Source organism: Homo sapiens, chromosome 18, assembly GCF_000001405.40.
Source record: "Homo sapiens chromosome 18, GRCh38.p14 Primary Assembly".
Taxonomy (NCBI): Eukaryota; Metazoa; Chordata; class Mammalia; order Primates; family Hominidae; genus Homo; species Homo sapiens.
The window spans coordinates 68,668,828-68,692,932 of record NC_000018.10 but is presented as its reverse complement, the minus strand read 5'-3'; the positions used below and the strand labels follow the sequence as shown (position 1 = coordinate 68,692,932).

The window sequence follows — 24,105 nt, the reverse complement described above, 5'->3', positions numbered from 1 at the left end:
CTGGCACCATTTGACACCATCTTAATCCTCATATAACAATGGGGGTGTCTTAGGCCAAAATCCCTAGAACCCAGAGGGCCTGGGTGGGCATATATGTAGCATCTGTTACATGAGCATATTTAGTATTTGTGTATTACTTCTATTATTTTTTTAATTGGGCTTCTCAGCTAGTTTGTTTAGGCATTCTTTATTCCTGAAAATAGTAATATTTGTCATCTCTCTTTTTTAGTTTTAAGGATGTATTTGGAAAAGTCTGCTAGGGGAAATAATAGTTACTTCACAATAATATGAGGAGTTTTACTCCCATAGATGATTCTCAAATAAGTGCAAAGCCCATAATTTTGTGGTCTTCCCATATTTTGAATATTAATGTTTGTCCTTCAGAGCTTCATTAGCTTTACAACGGGTATTTATGAAAACCCCAGGAGATGCAGTAAGGGGGTACAAGGATGAATTCAGACAATTTCTGACTTCAGAATAGTTACAGATGAATGAAGGAGATTGACATGCAGACTGTAACAGTAATAGAAGATGGTTGAAAAAAACACACGGGAGAGGAAGAGAGCTTCAGAATATGTGAGACTAGATGGCTGCAAGATTTGAGACTGTATCATTTGTGTTCTAGTAAGAACTATTCAGGGATATTGATGAAAGAGGGAGGTGCTGAATGTTGAAAAATACTTCCCAAGCATCTGTGTGGATGAGTTGCCAAGAGCAGGTGAATGGAGCATGCTTGATTAGAGCCTTACCTAAGAGCTCTTGCACTGCCCTTAAAATTGTTATTTTCATAGTGCTATATCATTTTTTAATAGTAATGTAACCAAATAATTCTGTATTATTTTCTCTCCCCTGAGATGTGCCTCCCTCCCTTTTTAATTTTTCCAGGATAACTGTCTTTATTTTATTGTTATTTTACTTCATTATCTACTCATTTACTTATTTGTCATTATTTTCAGTATTAACATGCTCATGTAATAATTCTTTGTGGCTTACTCAAATTATTTGTCTTCTGATATTTGTTTTCTAGTATAATTTTTCTCTCAAAGTAAGTACAGCTCAGCTATAAGCAGCTGGTACTTTCTGAATGATCCCTTATTACTACTGTAAGTGGCTTATAAAGCAGTTTACAGTTTAAGCAGTGCTCTCAGTTATGGTATCTGACATAACTCTCCTAATTGTTCTGTGAGATAGGCAGTCTCAGTGTCTTTATTCCACAGATGAGGAAGCAGACTCCCCTAGGTAAAGTGGCTCATTATCACACAGCCAGTGAGTGGTGGGGAAGGACTTAAACCTGAATAGGCTGGTTGATGTTTAAGTCTGTTATCAGGTAAGAATAATCCATGGTTTTTACTATAGCAAACAGGACATTGTACAAGGGGATATATAAAAAGATTCAGATATACTTCTTGGATGAGTTTGGGATTGACTGTACTCTTTAACTGTTTGTGACATTCTTTTTTGTTATTTTTATGTGTGTTTGAGTTTTCTGGTATCTCAAGACTTTTGAAATTATAGTTACTAATTAGAATTTTTTAGTGATAAAAGTTATTTAAACTTCTGATTTTTTGCAGTATGTGACACTAAAAGAGATGCCAGCTGTGCTTGTTTTCAAAGATGAAACTTACTTTGTTTATGATGGTAAGTTCCAAATCTTTAACTCATGTAAAACATTTTAAAATTAAAATGTCTGTTATACAACTTAGGTGTAAAGATTATGTAAATGCTTCTACTGTTCAATGAGAATAACAGTTCTCATGACTTGAATGCCTGATGTTTTGGGTTTTTTTTCACCCTTCAACTTATAATTGTTAGTTATTTTTATTCTGAGCTTTACCTACACAACATTCTTTTTGTTGTTGTTTGTTAAATTATATGCGTTTTTGAGGAATAAATTCTATGTGATTTTTATACATTACTTTAAAATGTTCAGAATTCATTTTTTTGAAGTAACATTTCAGATACAGAAAAAGACTTGAAGAAATAACACGTGTTCAATAGTGTTGAAGCCCCTGTGTATCCCTCCCTAATGGCATTTCCCCTTAGCTGTTAGAAATGACTGCTTACCTGCTATTCAGCATTTCTTCATTGACGCATAATGCTTGGTCTGTTTTTAAAATATTGTAATTGTAATATCAAACATACATCGTAGTAAAGAGAATGGTAAAGCCCTACATACCCATCACCGAAGTTAAACACTTACGAAGATCTTTGCCCATCATGACATTTGCTCCAACTTCAACTTTCAATTTGCTGAAGTACTTTAAAGCAAATTGTAATGGCATTTCATCACCATGTGCTTTATATTACGCATCTCTTTACAAAATGTAGACTTTTTATTTTTAGATAAACCACATGCAGCTACAACAACTGACATCATTCCTTGGTATTTTGAAATACCTACTTTCGTGTTTTCCAAACCGTGCTCTGACCTAGGGCAGTGCAGCAAACTCACAGGGGCTACAGGGGATATTTTAAATTTCAAGGGAAGCAGTGAAACTCGACATCTGTAGGCCACCACAAAGCCACTCAAAAGCAAAAGTGAATGCAGACTCAGCTGATAGCATTCCTGCTAACATTCTAAATTCTAATTCAATAAAATTTAAAGTTCAATTTCTTGTTCTCACGAACTGTGTTTCAGTGCTCGGTGGGCTCCTGTGGCTTGTGGTTACCATGTTGGAGGCCAGATAGGGAACACCCATTCATTCAGAAATATTCTAGAATGTGTTTTTCTTACTGAATTCTATGTGACAGAAAGGAACCTAGGACTAGATGAGAGCAGTAGAGTTTTAATTGCTGAAATAATTCAAATGAGTAGAAGACTTTTCAATAAAAAGGAACAATTTGTTTTATTATAAGTAGCATTTTAATTGTTTTGACAGTCATAAGACTACATTTCTGATTTTTATTGTCTTTAAATAAATGTGAGAGCTGAATTTTATTTGTTTCTATAGATAATAACTACACACTTATGCTGTCATATAAAAGGTACTATCTACATACTTGACATTTTCATTTTATTTACAAAGTAATCTGTGAGGTAGGTAATAAGGCAGATAGATTAATACCCCAGGATTACAAAGGATATAGCTAAGAATGTTAGATAAGGAGACAGGTGTGTAATTAAATAGCAGGTTTATCATATGCTTATTCAGCCATCCATTAATTGGATGTTTATTGAATGTCTGTATTAGACGTTGGGCTTATAAAAGAACTTCAGAGAAACTTGTGTATTTGAAAATATGAGAAGGAAAATAATTTGTAGCCACACCTAGTCTATTCACCTGCTCTTTGCTTGCAGTACTCCTCATATAATAAGTACTTAATGTATGTGATCTTATATTTGATCATTACAACATTCCCTTAAAATCACTATTCTTACCATTTTACAGATAAAGAAACAGGATTAAAGAGATTTTTTTTCCACGATAAAATAATCAATGATATCAAAATTCAGTCTTCAAATCTCATGTTCTTATTCCACTATGTGTTTCTTAGCAATTCAGAGAGGCACTTTGTTTCTTCCTTTAAAAAAAAAAAAACACTGATCATATCTGTTTAAATATAAACATATTTAAATATAAACAGATATCAGGTTTTTGAGCCTGCCTAGGAAAGCATCCCCCTGTTATAGCTCAGTGTTTCAGATACATTCTCCCACGCTTAAGGAAGACAGGAATATGATATGTTAAGTTTCTGTAGGTATTGTAAAGGCCCCATTTCTCTAACCTGCAGTAGTATTTAGAACCTGCCTGAAACATTCAGACAAAGCAAAGGCTTTACTTTGAATCCTTATTTAAATATTTAATTGTTGCTAATGTTTAGAAGCATTGGAATAGGGACTTGGGAGTATATTTCCTTTCTTACATATATAATTTCAGCTTTTATTTTAGATTCAGAGTCTACATGTGCAGGTTTGTTACATGGGTGTATTGGATGATGCTGAGGTTTGGGGTACAAATGATCCCGTCACCCAGGTAATAAGCATAGTACCCAACAGGTAGTTTTTTTAGCCCTTGTCCTCCTCCCCATCTCCCTAGTGTCTGTTATTCCCATCTTTATGTCCGTATGTACCCAATGTTTACCGCCCACTTATAAATGAGAACTTGCGATATTTGGGATAGTTTATTTTCGAATGAAATTCAAATTGATCACTGTATGCAATCTCGTAGAAAATTTGCTTTTAGCATGCAGTGGACATTGTGGCCCAGTAATCAATTTCTAGTTTTATGTTTATTTTCCTAATTTATAAATTTAAATCAATAAATTCTTTGAGATTTGCATTGCATCACTTATTTTATGGGTTTGATAACTTGAAAATGTTTTGTTTAGCAATGCAAGAAAAAGCATACCTTTGAAGAGGTCATTAAAATCCATTCTTCAACCAGATGTATTGGTAGGCTTTTATAGACATTTGCTTTACATCACCACCTTTTTTATGCAATTGTAATAATTTTGAACAATTACTTGAGAATTACATTTCTAATTAGGATGTAATATTTCTCTTAGATATTATATTTTCTATCTGCTTAGCAGAGGAATTATTTTATATTGGAAAAAAGCTAAGGTACTATGATTTTATATGTGTTTGTGTTAGTTGTACCTTTGAGAAAGAGTTGTAAACTAGGAAGACTATCATAAAGAGAGGAGAGCAAAGAAATTGTAATAAAAATTACCTGTAGTGCCATGACCCAAGTATAACCATTGATTCAGGGAAACCATTTAGGAATAACTGACTTCATTTTATCATTCTATGAGTTTATCTTTTCATACTTTCTTTTACGAAGTTACAGTTATGCTGTTATGTATTGTATTGTAACCTGTATTGTTTTGTAATCTGTTCAATTATAAGTTTTTTTGAAAATTTATAAATGATCTTTATCGACATATACCAAAATTTATTTAAATTATTTCCAATTTAGGATATTTTGATTATTTCCTTTATTTTTAATTATTTTTATGCTATTTTTAATGATGCTATAATGAAGATTGCTTTGTGCATTAATCCTTCTGTACATTTGATTGTATGCTTGCAATAAATTCCTAAAAACAATATTTATGGAAGTATGATTCTCTGTCAGGCGTTTTATACCTATTATCAGATTAAAGCTATTATAACTCTTAAATTCATATTTATACTGTAATTTGTCAACTTTGTCTTGGTTTTAAGAGTATGAAGATGGTGATCTGTCATCATGGATCAACAGGGAAAGGTTTCAGAATTACCTTGCTATGGATGGCTTCCTCTTGTATGAACTTGGAGACACAGGTAACAAGCATATGTACAAGTCTCCATTATGTTACATGATTTTTCTTTGATTATTTAAAAATCTTATTTTGTAGGAAATGAATTTAAGCTCTATTTCTCAACTTAATTTTTTATTTTAGATCTGAATGCCAGTTCTTTACGAGAATGTAAACTGATATTACCAGAAGATATACCTTTGCATGTGGGTCAGTGATTAAAGAGATGGTTTACTAATAGAACTGATGGTGATAAGGAAAACAAAAAGCCTGGGTAATAAGAGAGTGAGAAAAATAACCAACTAAGAAGCTGTACTCAGAACTGATTTTGTAATAGGAGTTAAAATAAAACTTAGCACAACCTATTTATAAGGCCTGCTTTTACCTGTGAAAGGGAAAAATGTAAGTTAAATTGGCATGGTTTCTTCAAGTTACGCTGTTGGAAATGACAGGCAACGCAAACACAAACACGAATACAAAAATGAAAGCTGTAAGAAGCCGATTATATGGTCTCAGATGCAAACTATAAAAATAAGAAGCTAACTGTAAGTTTTAGGAGAAAGTGTTTTATAAATTTATAGCAAATTAGAAATGAGAAATATTGGTTATTGGTGCCACATTTGTTTCCATTAATAGCTTTATGATAAGTAGGATGGAAGTATAGCTTTTGAGTAAAACAATGAGAACATTTTATTCAAGACTTATTTTTTTTTAATGTAAGTAATAGGCATAGGGTTTCCTCTTCATGATTGCCTACTCTTAAATCTAATTAATAAAAATTAGAGACATTCTTACATGTTCTCCTGTTTGTAACGTTTTGGGGGATATTTCTGTTCTGTTCCTGAGCTTGCTTTTAATGTTCTGTGTCTAGTGATATTTCTGCCTTTGCTTATCTTTACAGAAGGAGCTGTGTATTAGCTCATTATTGGAAGTTGCCGGGGACAGTGTCAAAGACTGTGGTTTTACTTTCTGATTTTTTTTTTTTTGAGATGGAGTCTCTCTCTGTCGCCAGGCTGGAGTGCAGTGACGTGATCTTGGCTCACTGCAACCTCCACCTCCCTGGTTCAAGCAGTTCTCCTGCCTCAGCCTCCCAAGTAGCTGGGAATCAGCATGCGCCACCACATCCAGCAAATTTTTGTATTCTTAGCAGAGACGGGGTTTCACCATGTTGGCCAGGATGGGCTCGATCTCCTGACCTCGTGATCCGCACGCCTTGGCCTCCTAAAGTGCTGGGATTATAGGCGTGAGCCACCGTGCCCAGACTTTTTGATTCTTTCAGACTCACATGAAAGGAAGAGGGGGAAATGTAGGAATATAGTAGTCTTGCTTTGTATAGTAATCATAGGAAATAGCATGACCTTGAGGTGATTAAAACAGGTGGCTTTGGCTCAACTGAACACATCTTTTCCCAGATGAATTTGGAAACAGAAGTGTGCTGTGGCAGTGTTATTTTATGTGTCTGACATAATTGCCCCTGTTAGGCATCAGCTGTGGTCGTGCCCCTGCCCTTCACCCCCACCTGTCCCCTGATGCTAGCACCATAGCAGCCTCCTGACGCTGTGCGGCTTCAGACACCTCATGTCTTTTCTCAGAAGTTCTAACTCTTGCCTACACCTCCAGCCTCATTTCACTCTAGCCTCACACTCTTCCTTCTTGAGCCACACTAACCTTTTAGTTTCTTTTATTGTTATTACTATTATTTTATCATTTTTACCCAAGTTTGCTTGATACCAGTTTCTTGAAAAGGCTATGCCAATTGCACCAAAGCACGTTTTTACATACTTTTTTCTTTGCTTGGAAATACTCAGTTAATTCGTATTCATCCATCAAACTCAGACCAAATACTGCTTCCTTAGGAAAATCTTCACTGACCTCGTCAGACTACATTAATTTATGCTGTAATTTTTTTTATAGCAGCATATTCTTATTTTTAATGGGACATTTATTTGATGAAAATGTCTACCAGTTCTATTGTGTTGTGCTTTCACAAGCGCAGAGCCTTGTCTGTGTTTGCTCATCACCATGTCCTCGGAACCAGCCCAGTGTGTGGTACATTATTTGACACTCAATAATTGTTGAATTAATAAATGTGAGAAACTGTGTCTGTGTTTCTCAGAATCCTGTTGGTCTATGGGAGAATGCTCTGCATGTTGTAGACATTTTGAAAAAAACTCACGAACCATTTGAAAATTAAAGAAGCATATAATACAAAAAAAGAATAGCAAACGAGATATTTCAGGAAGGTAGATGTCATTGTGAACTGTTTTCATCAGAGAGTTAGAAGACTGAAGGTTGTGTAGAATTTAGACAGGTGTTTAAGCAGTATGGAATTAGAAGCAGCATTAAAATGCAGGGATAATACTGAAAGATTATGGATTTAATCCTACATGTATGTACCTGCTCTGAGCCAGGTTTATGCCCATATTTCTGGGCATCTAATCTTACTTAACTCTCCCAATAACTCTATGAAATATATATTAGTTTTTGGAAATAAGTTGAAGTTTACTGAGGCACTTCCCTGTTCCCCTGTGGCTTGGTATGGTGCCTAGAACATGATAGACACTGCTTGATGGCAGTGTTTGGCGTTCTGATTCTAACACCACTCTTCTGGTTATTACATCATGCCAGCTTCCTAGAAGATATCAGGATACATATGCTTTATGTTGTATTTAGGGTTAAGTAAATGTGAGTCAGTTTAATTCTGCATATTATAACTGGCAAGTACTGAACCATGGTACCAAAGTCAACGGCCATGTAAAAACCATTTTCTTATTCTTCTAGACCATTGTTTTAGAGCTACAGTAATTCTTAGCAAACTTGCTTTTAATCAACTTATTTCCTGTGCTTTTAGCCTTTGAAAAAATAGTTATCTTAGCCAATTTGTAGGGTGTAAGGAAAAAATACAATTCAAGCTTGTAAGTTGGTATAAAAAATACTATTTAAGTGTATAAATTATTACATATTTACTCTTATTTATATTTTGGGGTGGGACGTGGAAGGGAATTTGTCACTGGAGTTGACTAATTCACTGATTGACTCTACAAACATATACCGTAATGTGTTGATTTAATTTGATATAACATGTAGGGTGATTGGAATTAAATTCTAGAAATACTTTACTAATTTCCTACTCAGAACTAAAGTGATAATTGAACAGTTTGTGTAATAAGGGTGATTGAATTCAGATGTGTCATTCTTTATTTCAGGAAAGCTTGTGGCTCTTGCAGTTATTGATGAGAAAAATACATCAGTTGAACATACCAGGTATAATGCCTTGATATAGTTTTAAGCTTCAAATGTTCATTTCAGACTATATGGCTTTAGATAGACTTGATATGGTATCTTACTTTTCCTGCAGCAATTAGATGTAAGACAGCAGATACTATCATTGAAAAATTATGTTTTTCAAGTGCAGAGATGAACTATTCATATGTTTGTTCTTCTACAGATTGAAGTCAATTATTCAGGAAGTTGCAAGAGATTACAGAGACCTCTTCCATAGGTAGGTGCTTATATTCTGAGAGATTCCTTTATTTTTGTTTAATACCATTTTGTAATTTAGTAAAGCAAACTTAGTAGTATTCATGCTTTTAGAGGTGAATCAAAGAAATGAAGTTAAATAACAGTAATCCTCGCTTATCCACAGGAGATACATTCCAAGACCCCCAGTGGGTGACTGAAACTTAGCATAGAATGGAATGCTACATATACTATAATTTTGTCTGTACCTACATACTTATGATAAAGTTTAATTTATACATTAGGTACAGTAAGAGATCAACAACAGTAATTAATAATAAAATAGAACAATTATAACAATACAGTATAGTAAAAATTATGTATATGTTTATTTTTGGAATTTTTCATTTAATATTTTCAGACCATGGTTGACCATGGGGAACTGAAACCACAGAAAGTGAATCTATGGATAAGGGGGGACTACTGTATAGCACATTGCATTTTAGCGTGAATTGTCTGGATCTTGAAATTCATTGATGGTATGTCCTGCAAGCTAAAAAAAGAGATACTTTGATCTATAATTTGTATCATACCTGCTTCTTGATAGGATTTGAGATGCGTTTTATGTAAATAAAATATGCACATGTACTTATAATTGGACATAAATGACTGATCAGAAGTCAGAGATAGGCAGATAATTATTCTAACAGAAACTCAAAAGAATAACTGAATAAAAAATGGCATCGGAAATACATATATTTTTACTTTATGCTGAATCATTGTTGCTATCATAAAAAAAGACAGTCAATATAAATATATTTTATTAGTGAATTATTATTTCTTTCCTATTCTGAATCTTCTAATGATGGGTCATTGTATAGTTTTCTTACATAGTATGTAGCGTCTTCTGATTATTCCTTTTTTTAGAGAAAATAGGAATTTTTCTTAAACATATTTCAGGTAGAATAGCTGATATTTCCCTGAATTTTAAATATGCATAAACCAAGTAGAAATGTCTTAGAATTTCCTCTACTCGTGTATTTGTATCTCAGAAGCCAGTAGAATTTACACTTTTAGCAGTGTTTATTGTATATGATTTACATGTGAAATGTTTACAGTTTCTGGGCCTACTGAGGCCTGAATTTAACTTCATTGTTTTATTTACTTTTTTACTATTTAATGAGCTTTCTCTCTCTCTCTCCCCCCACCCCCTCTCCTTTTATTTATTTATTTTTGGTTGGTGGTGGTTAGGGATTTTCAGTTTGGCCACATGGATGGAAATGACTACATAAATACCTTGCTGATGGAGTAAGTAAAGTGCTGAATGATTTTGCTGTCAAATCTATTAATTTTTAAATTTGTTTCTGAGATACAGGTAGAAGGATTAAATAGCTGAAAAATAGCAAACAGTTGACATATTCAGATGCAGATATTCTCCCATTAAATATTTTACTTTAGTTTTCCAATTCTGTATTTGGAACTTAACTGACTTTAATATTGGTCTATAGTAAAAAAAAAAAAAAATTATCTCCTGATTTAATGTTTTCTAGTATTCTGAAAAGCCATTATTCCAAAACGTGTAAATTTCATGGCTTCTACTTAATGCATACCTTGAGAAGTTCTGTTTTAATGGGCAATATAACTATTAAATAGAAAATGTTTAGCATTCAAAAACTAATTGTTCTAGAATTGGATAGACTAACTTTGTAAGAAAATATGCAATTTTAAAATTTTTATCTGTTTAAAATTTATATAAAGACTATTACATAGAAAATGTTTAGCATTCAAAAACGAATTGTTCTAGAATTTATTTGAGTAGACTAAATTTGTAGGAAAATATGTAGTTTTAAAATAATTTTTATCTAAAATTATGATGTAGAGATTTAATTTGCCACTTCACAAGACTGATATTAGAAAACATTTACCAAACCCTGTACTGAATTAATAAATGTGAAACAAGAAGCCACTCTATTCAGTGAACATTTAGTGAGTATTTACTGTATGTTGTACACTATATTAGACACCGTTGATGGAAAAATGAATAGAGTCCCTTTCTTTAAATGCTTACAGTCCACTGGATAAGACCACAGATGTTAGTTACAGAACTGTATGAAAAGATCTATGTAGGACAGGGCTGGGAGAGAGATACTTTCCCATCCTCACCTTCCCCACCCCGCCACCTGCACCCAGTGCACACTAAGGTGGAAGGGCTCAGGAAACATTTTCCGGAAGAGGCAATAATTAAGAAAACGTCTAAAGAGTGAGAAGTTAGCTGAATGAAGAACACAGGGATAGTATTTCAGGCAGAACATAATAGCAAGTATGACAGGTAGTAGGAAAACTGGGCTTAGGAGAGTGCTAGAGAGATAAGCTAGTCTCTAAATGAAGATGGGGAAATCTCACTAGAGACACACTAACTCTTAGCCTCATTGAGGGCCCAGTGGAAGCTCAACAACATGATGCTGTGCTTTGGTTTTCTCTAGCTTTGCTTAGTATCATAGATGTAGCAAATGCCTTCATTTGTTATTGCAATGTATTAGGTTATTTTGGTGTCTTCTATTTTCTAAGTAAGAACACTGAGCGAGGAAGGGAGTGAACTTAACAAATCTGAAGTAACATTCATCATCTTCAGCTAAATCTTGAAATGTAGCATCACCTTACTTCATTTATTATCCCTCTCATTTCAGTAAGAACTTAAGAGGATTTGCCAAAGATTAAAGTACCAGATGTAGGATATAATGAAGAATCAAGAGAAAAAAAGTATCTATACAATTATTAAAGGGACTGTTGACCGTTGAACAACATAAGTTTGAATTGTGCAGACCACCCATAGGAATTTTTTTCAATACATATGTTATAAAATGTTTTTGAGATTTTTGATAATTTGAAAAGACTTAAAGATGAATTGCGTATCCTAGAAATATCAAACAAATTAAAAAGGTATGTCATGAATGCATAAAATACACGTAAATACTAGGTCTATTTGATCATTTTCTACCATAAAATATGCACAAATGTGTTAAATAGCTTCTATAATTATGGCTACTGAGATATAAATGAATATCAGAATACTTGCTATTGCTGTGTTTAATGTATATTTTGATTTGTTTTTATATTTTCAGTGAATTGACAGTCCCAACTGTAGTTGTACTGAATACTTCAAACCAGCAATATTTCTTGCTAGATAGACAGATTAAGAATGTTGAAGACATGGTCCAGTTTATTAATAACATTTTGGATGGCACAGTAGAAGTAAGTTGTTCACTTCTGTTTCAAAGAGATGATGGACAGGGGGTAGAGGAGAAACTAGTTCATTTCTTTACTTGTGATTCTGAAAAGAATAGTTGGCCATCACCCGGAGTAGAGGGCTGGACCTCCATACATTGCTTCTGTCCAATTATAGGCAGAGTAGAGGTACATTCTCCCAGATACAGAAGGTTCTTCTGTGGCAGAGGTTGCTAAAGATGGAAGTGTCCTTTTATGGGTTATTTGGAGGGTATTTTTGGTTGTCATGGTGATGGGGAGGGGCTGTTGGCTAAGGTTGAGGCTTAGGGATGCTAGGAAGTCTGCACTGTGTGGGGTAATCTTAATAGTGAACTTGCCTGTCTCTTAGTATGTTTCTAGGTCCAAAAGTACAATTGGATTAAGTCGTTAGGATTGGTTTTCTAAGAAAATCTGCAAATAAGATGACAATTTCTCAAGAAATGAGGAAATTTATTGAGAGTAAAAGCCCCCGTGGAGAGTTCTAGACTTAATCCTATAAAATATTTCTCAGAAATAAGTGAATAGTCTTAATTTTCTATTTTTTTCCTATAAATTTTAACTGCAGTGTTTTTCAAACTGTGAATTGCAACCTATATTAGAAAGTCATGAAACCACCGCAAGTCACAATCAGGTTGTGACCAGCATGCATCTTAATTCAATAGACTAGGATAAAATTTAAAAGAAAGCGCCTTCATTGCTTTTGTGAAATGTAATTACTAGTTTTTGAGAGTTGTTTCAGTTTTACACAAACTTTATTTAAAATTTGCTTACAGAGTAACAAACATAACTACTTTCGGTCAAGGTGAAGAAGTTTGAAAAACAGTCAAATAGTTAAGAATATTTTTGAAAATAATTTGTTGAAATGAAACTCTCACCTATATAAATAATCAGCCTTCTATTTTTAAGTTAGTGGAATGCAACTCAGACTATTTAACAACAGATTTTATTGTCTCATAGAGCTTGGAAATTTAAAAAATGAGCCAGATTGCAGGTATGGCCGAATATAGGATTTGAGTGATTTTCATCAGGAATTTTTCACTCTCTTCCCTTCAGCACTTTCATCCTCAGGGAAGCTCTCCCTGCACAGTAGCAAAGGTATCCTGCAGCAGCTCTGGTTTTGCGGTCCCAGCTAAACTCAAAAGCTGGTTAGGCTGTCCTCAGAGGTGGGTCAGCTTCAGCCAAGCTGTGTGGGTTATGAATAGAGGAGGAGGAATTGTTTAGAGTAGAATCAGGGTGAATTAACACAAGCAGGCAGGAGGAATGCTGGACATGACACAGACAAAAAACAACACAGTAAATGTTTACCACATGGCCTTTTCAGGTGATTATGTAATATTTTGGAGTCAACCATTTGGCCTGCAATTGTAAGGTTATGTAACACCAAGTAAATGAAGTAATGGTGCTTAAATAATTTATTTTTCTTTTCCTTTTTTGAAGGCCCAAGGAGGTGATAGCATTTTGCAGAGATTGAAAAGAATAGTATTTGATGCCAAATCTACTATTGTGGTAAGTTGTGACAGTTTATGTCATTGATAATGAAGAAGATATAGGTTCTTTATGTCTAGCTGTGTTAAAAATCTGAATTTGAAAAGATTAGGTCAAAATATGTCTTTTTAATTTGCAGGATATGACTAGTCAGTATTTAAGAAAATATATTCATTAGGTGGAAATTGTTTCTAATTGTTTATATGATTGATGAGTTAAAACTAAAATTCAGAATCAATTAACTTGATAGTATAATTTAAAAGATTTTATTTCTGCAACCTGCCATGTAAAGTTTTTACTTAGTAATTTCTATGATTTGTTGAAAGTGCAGATAATATGAAATTTTTAGTTCCATTACGTGCTGTCTTCTGTAAATTGGTCATTTTTGTTAAAGAAAATGATGTGTGCTGGGAAGTCACTTTTTATTTTGCAGGAGTCAAAATAAAATTTTAGATCTTACAATTTTAAACATCCCTGTTAATTCTGTACTTTTCCCTAGTTGGTAAATAATTAAGATCATTTACAGATGTTTTTCCTTCTTCCCTTTTTCTCTCCTTCCTTTTTTTTTTCTTTTATTCTTTTTATAGAACACTTTAAATGTGGAATTAAAATGTGATGGATCAAATCCTTTCTAACAGTGTTTACTTTCATTTGTTTGTCCCAGTGTTTATTCACAGTTGTTATATGTAAGTAGAATATCAACAGTGGTAGACGAATTGACATGTCTGCCCCTAATTACCCGTCTCTCTTGTTTTTATAATTATACTTTCTAAATATATTTCCTTGACTTTCTTCACTGTCACCTCTCACCTGATTATTTCTGCTATTCTAATTTCCTCTTCCTTTCACTCTATCAAACTAATGCTCACTCTGTCAAACTAATTAGATCTGTTGTATTTCCCCTGGATTTCTTTGAAGCATCCTTTCCTTGACATTCTCCTTTCCGTGCTGCTGTGAGTATCACTACTCCCCTGCTCCTGCCCCATCTCTTCAGTGTTTTTCAGCATCCCTTTCCTCCCTTTCCCCTTTGCAGTCCCTGGGTCTGAACCTTCTCGCTTGACACTCTTACGAAATTGTTCTCCCTCTCCCAGCTTTAACTGTCAATCAACTTGACAGCAGAGGAATTCTTAAATTTGTTTGAGCCCTAAACTTAGTTCCTGTTGTCCTTCTCGAGCTCTTACATGGGCATTTTCATTCACTGTGGCCCAAAGCAATCATAAAAATATAGCTAACATTTTTTGGTTAGAAGTAAATTCTGGGACTCTTTGTTTTTTTCCTTGCATAGTATTCTTCAGTTTGCTTTACTTTCCTGTTGCCACGAGCATGGATTAGGCCCTAATCACATTCTGTCTAGCTGCTGGTCTCTTTCACCTGGTTTCCATACTTCCACTTGCCCAGTCTCCAATCTATATTATATTCCACTACACAGTTAATATTACTAAAATAATCGATTTTGATCACTTTCCTTCCCTTTTCCAGGGACATCAGAATACTCTGTCCATCTAAAGTATTTTCCTCGTTGGTTTTTGAATATTAGCTTTTGCTAGTGCAAATTGCCTGGTGCTCACTTGTCCCATATCCTGCCTCCTTCTCACTCATCCTTAAATTCCTACCTAAAACACACCTTTATTCTGTGAAACTTTCTTTTATTATCTCAATCCAAAGTGATCTTTTTCTTCTCTGAACTTCTCTATGTTCTCAAGAGTTATCGTTGCAATTCATGCAGTATATTCTAGTTGAAAACCCTATTCATTAAAATTACTTTTACTTTCCTGGGAGCTATGAAGACAGTATGTAAATTGAGGGAAATTAGTAAGTCAATGAAGTTTTACTACTAACCAGATAAGTAAAAAATATTAAAAATGTCATGTGAAAAGAGTATGTGTGTACCTTCTTTGTGGTAAATAACCCAGCCTTCTCCATAAGCAGATTCCTGTGGTTCAGGAAGCAACTCTAAAGCTGCTGGGCGCACATAGTAAGCACCTTAAAGAGACCTTTGTGGTTAATGTAGAAAAATCAGTGTCTTTAGGAAAGGCTGTAGAATATTTGATGCCTTTTTCTGTTGCTAATAGCTGGTTCTGCACACACATGCTTATGTATGTGCATATAGAAATTATATCTCTTAACAGTGTCTTTCACATGGTAGTTACTGCTGAAATGATTGATTCATTGGAACTAAAAACAAGCTGAATAGCAACAAGAGAAATCTATAGTGGTTTCAAGTTCATTTCATGCTATATATATCAGAATTACATGTGAAGGGAACTGAGTTTTAATTCTCTTTCCACAGTCTATATTCAAGAGCTCACCACTGATGGGCTGCTTTCTCTTTGGCCTGCCACTGGGTGTCATCAGTATCATGTGCTATGGAATCTACACAGCCGACACAGATGGAGGTTATATAGAAGAACGATATGAAGTGTCTAAAAGTGAAAATGAAAACCAAGAACAGATAGAAGAGAGCAAAGAACAGCAGGAGCCCAGCAGTGGAGGATCTGTAGTGCCTACAGTGCAGGAGCCCAAGGATGTATTAGAAAAGAAGAAAGATTGAGACTTGATGACTATAAAATATTTGTTAGGACTTCAAATTATTAAAGAGTCTATTTATTGAATTTAGACATTTAATCATGATCTTTACAGAAAAGAACATGTTATTCGTATTTTGCTAATATCAACTGCATGGATTAAAGTAGTCCCTCCATACATGGGGAAGTGTTTGGAGCAAAGAGATGAACAGTTTGTCTGAAACAAACACAGAGCACTCCATCAAAATTTACCTGATCTTTGTGATTAGAACAGAACAATTCTATTTGCATGTTTCTCTATCTGAATATTCTGTGACAAAAAGTTAAGATTCTTGGGCAGAATATTTAAATTGGTCAGTCAGGTAGAAGATACATGTGTGATATAGAAAAATAATGCCTCTCCTGCTGCCATCCGTTTCCCTCATATATTTTGGACAAGATTTATATGGACAAAATTAAGTCTTTAAAATTTAGGCACTTTAAGGAGAACTAATAACTTTTTCCATGTATCAAGATTATGAGGTTAAAAATAATGTGGTTTTATATAGCATAGTGGTTTTATTTTGTTAGTTATTTTTAAAGGAGAAGAAATGTTACTTTTTAACTTTATACTCAGTTGCATTATCATAAAATTTTCATATATGCCTAGATAATGGGGAAAAAAAGTCTTGTGATTGACTTTCGCAAAATAAACAGGATTTACTGAGTAGAGGTTTCAGCCCATTCCTTGGAATACTAACAGGTATTTCATCAGTCATTGTAGGTTGGGAAGGGTCTCTGTTAATCCTACTCTGCTTTAGCCAGAATAGCCTAGTATTTTATTTCTATTTTATATATTGAGATTTCTTCTAACATTTCCTTTGATAAAAATCTTCTGCTTTTTGAAAAGTGGTATGTATCATATTTTTATGTTTCTGGTGTGTGAACTTTATGGTAACTTCTACTCTAGAATACGTACGTATGCACCCACAGACACACACAGTTTATTGACACATCTATTATGTAATGCTGTAGACCTGTCCGTGTCTGCTTCATAAGGAGTAACGACTGACATTAGCATGTCCAGTGACAAGTCACATCCGGTGTAAAAAAAAGAGATCAGCCAGTTACCTTCTCCATTGTCTTAGTTCTGTCACCCATTTCGTCAAGTGACCTCTCATCTTCTATAAACTAATACAGGAATTCTTTCCAAAGCAATGTCTAAAAACTCTTTTTTTTAAAGTAACAGTTTGGTATGTTTATTGTAGATAAATTATTTTTGAGGCCTTCATTTTAGCTAAGTTTAGAATTTATATTAGGCAACTATGATTTGAGTGGTTATTCATTGAGTAATTTTCCACTATAAAGAATTTTATTGAACATTTATTAAAAAATAATGTAATGCATGGTCAAAAAATATGTAATTCATGGTCTGGACACTGACGTTGTTTAGGGATTTAGTCATCAAGGACAGCCCTCTGTTGTTTCTAATGCCGTACTAATCAAGACTGTATGGACACTTGCATCTTAAGTACTAAGGAATTACTAGTGATTGTTTTATTTTATCCATGTACTCTTTTAGTATTTAATAATTAAATACCTATTCTTAGTGTTTGACACTCCATATTTCTTTTTTTTGGAAATGAAACAAATATGCAGTCCAAAATTCAGGAACTACTAGAGTGAAATGATATTAAGTGGAAACCAGAGATAAATGCTGTTAATTTAACAAGTAGATTCTTCTCCAAAGAATGATGAGTGATTCTTGGGAAGATAAATGTTAATGTTCCCAATAGTCAAGCTTGTTTTGCAGTAGTGAAAAGCTTAGATGAGTACGGATACCTCATTTGAAACTCAGCCTAGTAAGGAAGTGAAAACTTAGCAGTCAGTGACATGGGGAAATAGTTATAGAAAATGTCACTGAATTTTTTCATATTTATAATTAGTCATTTACATATTTTTGTCTTGTTGATCATTACCTGTAAATGAAAGACCTTAATAGGAAAAAAAGAGTAAAGCTCAGTGTGAATGCAAACATCCACAAAATATGATCTTCGTTTATATTCTGTGATGTTGTTTATAAATGAATGCCTCAGTTCTCTGCTACCCTTTTCACAGCTTTGTACTGTTTGCCTTATATTCTATTTGTGCTTTTAAAGTGTGTCTGTTGGGAAAACAAAATGTGTAGGTGGTTTGTAAGTGAATAATTTTTATTTCTTCTTGTATTAAAATTTTGTTTTTTTCTCTACTTTGGGAGATGTTTATTTACATTGTCAGACTATTCACAAAACAGATTCTAAAATTTGTTTGCTCGTATGCTGTTCCCTTCAATGTGATATCAGAGATTACTATGAATGTTAGTTTCATTCCGTGAAACATTACTTCCATATAAAGACAGATCTCTTAATAAGTGAATCTAGTGGAAGAACATAGGTATCATTCTAATTCCATGGTAAATTTTGTCATGATTCTATATGAATAATGGGGTCCTTCAGGAAGTTGGAATTTTTGCCTTCTCTTTTAATTGCAGTGAAGTTCTCTTTATAACTTCTAAAATTCGGAATTCTAGATCCTTGCTTTTGCAGAATTTGGTGCTCAGACAATATTTAAGGACATTTCAGCGAGACAAAGTGCATGTTTTTATCGAGTACCCTGTGCACCACATTATATCTGGCAATTCTTTTTGTTTCATTATGTGCATCAATATTTTTCTCAGCTACTATTACCTGAAACTTGTTTAACATGTATTAGACCTAGAATTTTCATTTTCTTTCTCACATAGTTGCTTCCTGGTATCTGATTTAGAAATAACATTTAAATGCCAAGTATCTGGGGGATTGAAGGAAGGGTCTATATGAGCAGGTGAATTAGCAGTACTGTTTTTGTTTAGTGGATATTGTTAGTGACTTTTTGTGTGTGTTTTGCTTTGGGACCTTTTTATTTTGGTGTTGCAAAAAGTAACATATTTTCATCATTGCTTCATACGACATGGAGTTAGGACAGGGAAAAATCATTCAACACTCCTTATGCATTAAATGATCAAATAAACCAGTGTAGGATATTAAGACTATCAATTGGTGGGATTAGGCTTGACATTTTATTTTTATAAATATATATTTTTTCTGAATGTGTCTGAGTCCAAGAGTGGGCAAAAAATAATTTTCTACTTTGGACTAATCTATAGAGGTTTTTGAAAGTCTGCATTACTAACTTGTTGAATTCATGATATTCTGCCTATGGCACAAATTGTAAACCTTTGTTTTTCTAAAATAAAGTAATTGAAAACCTGCAATTGTTTCTTATTTTTACTGTGTATCCTGGTTGTTTGCAATATGAATAGTTCTGTGTACAAAGACAACAGCTACGACCATATCTTCCAGAAAGTGTTGCTTTTATTAAAATTATAATTGTAGAAATATAGAATTTTAGAGATGAGAGAGATCAGATTGCAGTCTAATTCTACTATAAATAACCTGAGATTCATAGGTTTGATATAGTTTGTATTTGACAAACCTGGTAATTGTACAGTAAAAAGCATATCTTATAGTTTATTTTGAGAAGAATCAATCCTTAAGTCAACTGCTAAATTATCTTTGACAGCACACAACCACAATTAAAACCTCAAGTTTTTAAAAAGTTGGTTTTAAATAGCATCAGGTATATTAGGAAAAAAAGGCTTTATACAAACGTTAATTTTAAAAATAATTTCTTTTATATATATTTATTTTTAACAAGGACGTATCTTTTAATGAGAGTGATAGGCACAGGAATAACAGCCCAAAACATGGACCCACAAACCTGTGAATTTGCAGACTGGCTGGTTAGGATGGGCCTCTTCTGATACGAGTGACCGAGCACAGCACGTTCCGCTGTTTATAAATTTCTCAGGAGTGTGATGGAGGTTCTCGTCTCTTGTTGTGTGGCTGTATTGCACTGTGTGTGTGGAGGCTCCGGTGTCACACTCCCTGGTTCAACTCTTTCTGTCATTTACCTGTGTAAAGTTGAATGAGCCACTTAACCATTCTGCTCCTGAGTTGTCTAATTGGAGGATGATGGCACCTATCTCGCTGGATTGTGAAGAGAAATGAGTTGCACATGAGGTGTATTTAGAACAGTGACTGGAATACAGTAACAGCTCAAATATTAAGTATAATTCTTTTAGAGTTAATTGATTTCTCACTTTATTTAGAATTTATATCATTTACCACAGAGAAAAGCCAAGTCATCAGGAATGTGAAATTCTAATATGTTTTAAGTTTGCTTGGCTACTTTCTGCAATTTAAGTTCTAACATTTTGGATAGAAATGAAAAAAAAATTTCTTTGACATAAAAATTAATTACAAATATTTAGGTTCAGATGTCTTGGAAAAATCCTCTGGTTTTTGTGCTTCTAGTGAAAATGAATAAACATAAGCAGATATAAACCAGTAAGATTGTTGGTTGATGTATGTGAATAGATAGACATAAATGTGAGACAGAATAATGAATATTGAATATAGGAAAATTATCTGATTTTCCTGCTAGCATACATTACTGTAGTCAAGTGCTCAACTTTTCTCTGAGCTCATCTCTGGTAAACTGAAATGATATCTTAACTAGTGAGAAGTGGCAATTTTTTGTGTGATTTATTCTTTCTGTTTTTTAACTAATTTATTTATTTTTAGAAGCAGGGTCTCACTGTGTCACCCAGGCTGGAGTGCAGTGGCACAATCCTAGCTCATTGCAGCCTAGAACTCCTGGGCTCAAGTGATCCTCCTGCTTCAGCCTCCCAAGTAGCTAGGACTATAGGCACACACCACCACATTCAGCTAATTTTTAAATTTTTTGTAAGGGAGAGTGAGTCTCGAACTCCTGGCTTTAAGCAATCTTCCTGCTTTGCCCAGATTTATTCTTTCAACAAACGTTTAACAAATGTCTTTTATTCTATTGAATGAATATACAGCAGCAAAAAACAGTCATAGCTTCAGTCTTCATAAAGTTTTTAGCTACTGTAATTGTTCAGTTTTTACTTAAAATGCTCAGTTGAAAATTTTCCATTTTTCTGTTTTTCTTAGTTTCTCTTCTTACACAATCTATTGTTCAACATAAGAGCATTGATAATCTCTGGGACTCCGAGAGTTAGTGACCAAGACAAAACAGAACATACCAGCTTGCTTCAAATATATGAAGAGGTCAGATTTACTCAGCATATCTGCAACTGTGGTAGTTATATGGATAGAGGTAACAGGGAAATTGAATGCAGTTCAAGGTAAGGAAACAGCAAAAAGAATATCTCGAGATAAAATGGGCTGTTGGAGGTGCGGAGTTCTCACAGTGAAAGTGTTTTTCAAGCTAGAAAACTCCTTGGTATTGGTTTCAAGACTGAGATTCTGTGAGTCCATAAATGTAAGCAGTAAAGCCACCATCCATGCCCATGTGTGTGAGTCTCCTCTTTTAACAACAAAAAGATCCAAAAAGGTTTTTAGCCAACTCCAGTATATCGAGTTTTGGTTGGGTGGATGAAAAAGTCCAGTGAAGCTGAATTTGTAGTAGAAACGGAGATTATTTCTCCACCCATCTAAATTTTTCACATGAATCTTTGCATCATTGTCTTCGTTCATAAGTGACCATGGTCATTTACTAATTTATATAAAAATAGTTTTCTTCTATTAAAGTTGATATGCCAGTTTCTGAATCTGTTTGATGCAACCACTGGAAATTCTATTTCCAATTATGAAAACGCAGTCAAAAACATAGTAAACATTTAATAGTTAAAATTATGCGGCTGTGCACACAAATAATCTGTGTAACTAATAAATCTGTGTTAAATTATTTTATCTCTTTTTTTCTTTTCTTTTCTTTTTTTTTTTTTTTTTTTAGATTGAGTCTTGCTCTGTCACCCAGGCTGGAGTGCAATGGCGTGATCTCGGCTCACTGCAACCTCCGCCTGCCAGGTTCAAGCAATTCTCCTGCCTCAGCCTCCTGAGTAGCTGGGATTACAGGCATGTGCCACCATGCCAGGCTAATTGTTTGTATTTTTAGTAGAGACCACCATGTTAGCCAGGATGGTCTCGATCTCCTGACCTCGTGATCCACCTACCTAGGCCTCCCAAAGTCCTGGGATTACAGGCCAGAAACCCAGGATCTGTCTGTAACTTACTTTCTTCAACACCATGTATCTAATCTGGGAGAAATGCTTATCAGTTATATCTTTAAAATATATTCAGAAACCAAACTTTGCATGACTTTCAAGACTAGCATCTGGGTTCAGGTCACCATTACCCTTTACCCTGGGAAAGGCTTCTGTCATAACCTGACTGCAGTCTACTGTTGAAAGAGGAGCCGAAGTCATCTTTTTTACAATGTAATATGGCTTGGCTTTGTGTCCCCACCCAAATCTCATGTTGAATTGTAATCCCTAGTGTTGGAGGTGAAGCCTGTTGGGAGGTGATTGGATGACGGAGATGGATTTTCCCCTTGCTGTTCTCTTGATAGTGAGTGAATTCTCATGAGATCTTGTTATTTAAAAGTGTGTGGCACTTCCCCCTTTGCTCTCTCTCTCTTACCGCCTTGGGAAGAAGGTGCTTCTTTCTCTTTCACCTTATGCCATGATTGTAAGTTTCCTGAGACTTCCCCAGATAGGCTTCCTATATAGCCTGTGGACCTGTGAGTCTCTGCATAAATTACCTCTTCTCTTCAAAAATTACCCAGTCTCAGGTAGTTCTTTATAGCAATGTGAGAATGGACTAATACACAATATAAGGTAGGTTATGTCATTTTTCTGCTCAAAACATTCCTTAGTGTAACTGACAACATCCTTACCATAGCCGATGTTACTGCTTGAATCGTGTCCCCCAAAAATTCATACATTGAAGTCCTAACCCCAGATACCTCAGATTGTGATCTTATTTGGAAATAGGGTTGTTGCAGATGTAATTAGTTAAGATGAAGTTTCACTGGAGTAGGGTGGGCCCTAGTATCAGATAGTTGTAGATGTGCAGCATTATTTCTGGGTTCTCTATTCTGTTCCATTGGTCTATGTGCCTGTTTTTCTACCAGTACCATGCTGTTTTGTTAACTGTGGCCTTGTAGTACAGTTTGAAGTTGGGTAATGTGATTCCTCCAGCTTTGGTCTTTCTGCTTAGGATTGCCTTGGCTATTCAGTTTCTTTTTTGGTTCTTATATAAAGAGGAAATTTGGAGACAGACAGGCACCCATCGAGAATACCACATGAAGATGAAGGCAGAGATGGAGTGATGATGCTTCTACAAGCCAGGGAACGCCAAAGATGGCCAGCAAATCACAAGAAGCTAGGGCAGAGGCCAGAAACTGTTTCTTCCTCACACCTCTGGAAAAGAACTGACTCTGTGGACGCCTTGGACTTCTAGCCTCCAGAACGGGGAAACAGTGTTTCTGTTGTTCTGTTGCTTAAGTCACCCAGTTTGTGGCACTTTGTTATGGCAGCCCCAGCAAATTCAAATAGCTTCTAATGCTTTCTAACAGTCTCCCTGCCTCCCACCATTACCACATTTAACTCCAGTGCATCTATCTCCTTGCTCATTTCCTTCCAGCTTCCTGACCTCTGCTGTTCCTGCAACACACCCAGATGCTCCCTTGCACTCGCTGGTCCCCCTGATGAGAATAACATTCTTCTTGATACCCACAGGACTTCATCACTTTAGTCACCTTACCATTAATGCCTTTATGACCTACTCTCTGTAAATTAGACCTCCTGGCCTCCGGTTCTTCATCCCTTTACGTACACTGCTTTTTTTTAATTTTTTTTTTTTTTAAGGTTTGAGGATACATGTGAAGGTTTATTACCTTAATATGTTCTGGGGATTCATTGTACATATTATTACATCACCCAGGTATTAAGCTCAGTACCCAATAGTTACCTTTTCCTCCTCTCCCTCCTCTGAACCTCCCCAAGCAGGTAGATCCCAGTATTTGTTTTCTTCTTTGTGTTCATAAGCTCTTATCATTTAGCTCCCACTTACAATTGAAAACATATGGTATGTGGTTTTCTGTTCCTGTGTTAGTTTGCTAAGGATGTTAGCCGCCAGTTCCATCCATGTTCCCGCAAAAGACATGATCTTATTCTTTTTTATGGCTGCATAACATTCCATGGTGTATATGTACCACATTTTCTTGATCCAGTCTGTCATTGATG

The 24,105-nt window shown here is 34.7% G+C and overlaps 1 protein-coding gene across 9 annotated transcripts in view; it reads left to right on the top strand.

The window, feature by feature from the left end:
• TMX3 (thioredoxin related transmembrane protein 3) overlaps positions 1-19,245 on the top strand; it is a 41,421-nt gene extending 22,176 nt beyond the window's left edge. For 5 of the 9 annotated variants that reach the window (NM_001350516.2, NM_001350515.2, NM_001350514.2 and 2 more), the window contains 8 exons: positions 1,572-1,638; positions 5,168-5,266; positions 8,448-8,505; positions 8,690-8,743; positions 9,952-10,008; positions 11,823-11,952; positions 13,402-13,470; positions 15,740-19,245. In NM_001350516.2, the coding sequence (NP_001337445.1) occupies positions 1,572-1,638; positions 5,168-5,266; positions 8,448-8,505; positions 8,690-8,743; positions 9,952-10,008; positions 11,823-11,952; positions 13,402-13,470; positions 15,740-16,000 (795 nt within the window). In that variant the 3' untranslated portion in view covers positions 16,001-19,245. Of the gene's footprint in view, positions 1-1,571; positions 1,916-2,951; positions 5,051-5,167; positions 5,267-8,447; positions 8,506-8,689; positions 8,744-9,951; positions 10,009-11,387; positions 11,641-11,822; positions 11,953-13,401; positions 13,471-15,739 lie in introns of those variants that run through there. The other 4 variants (XR_935227.3, XM_011526034.4, XM_011526035.4 and 1 more) reach the window with 4 other exon arrangements.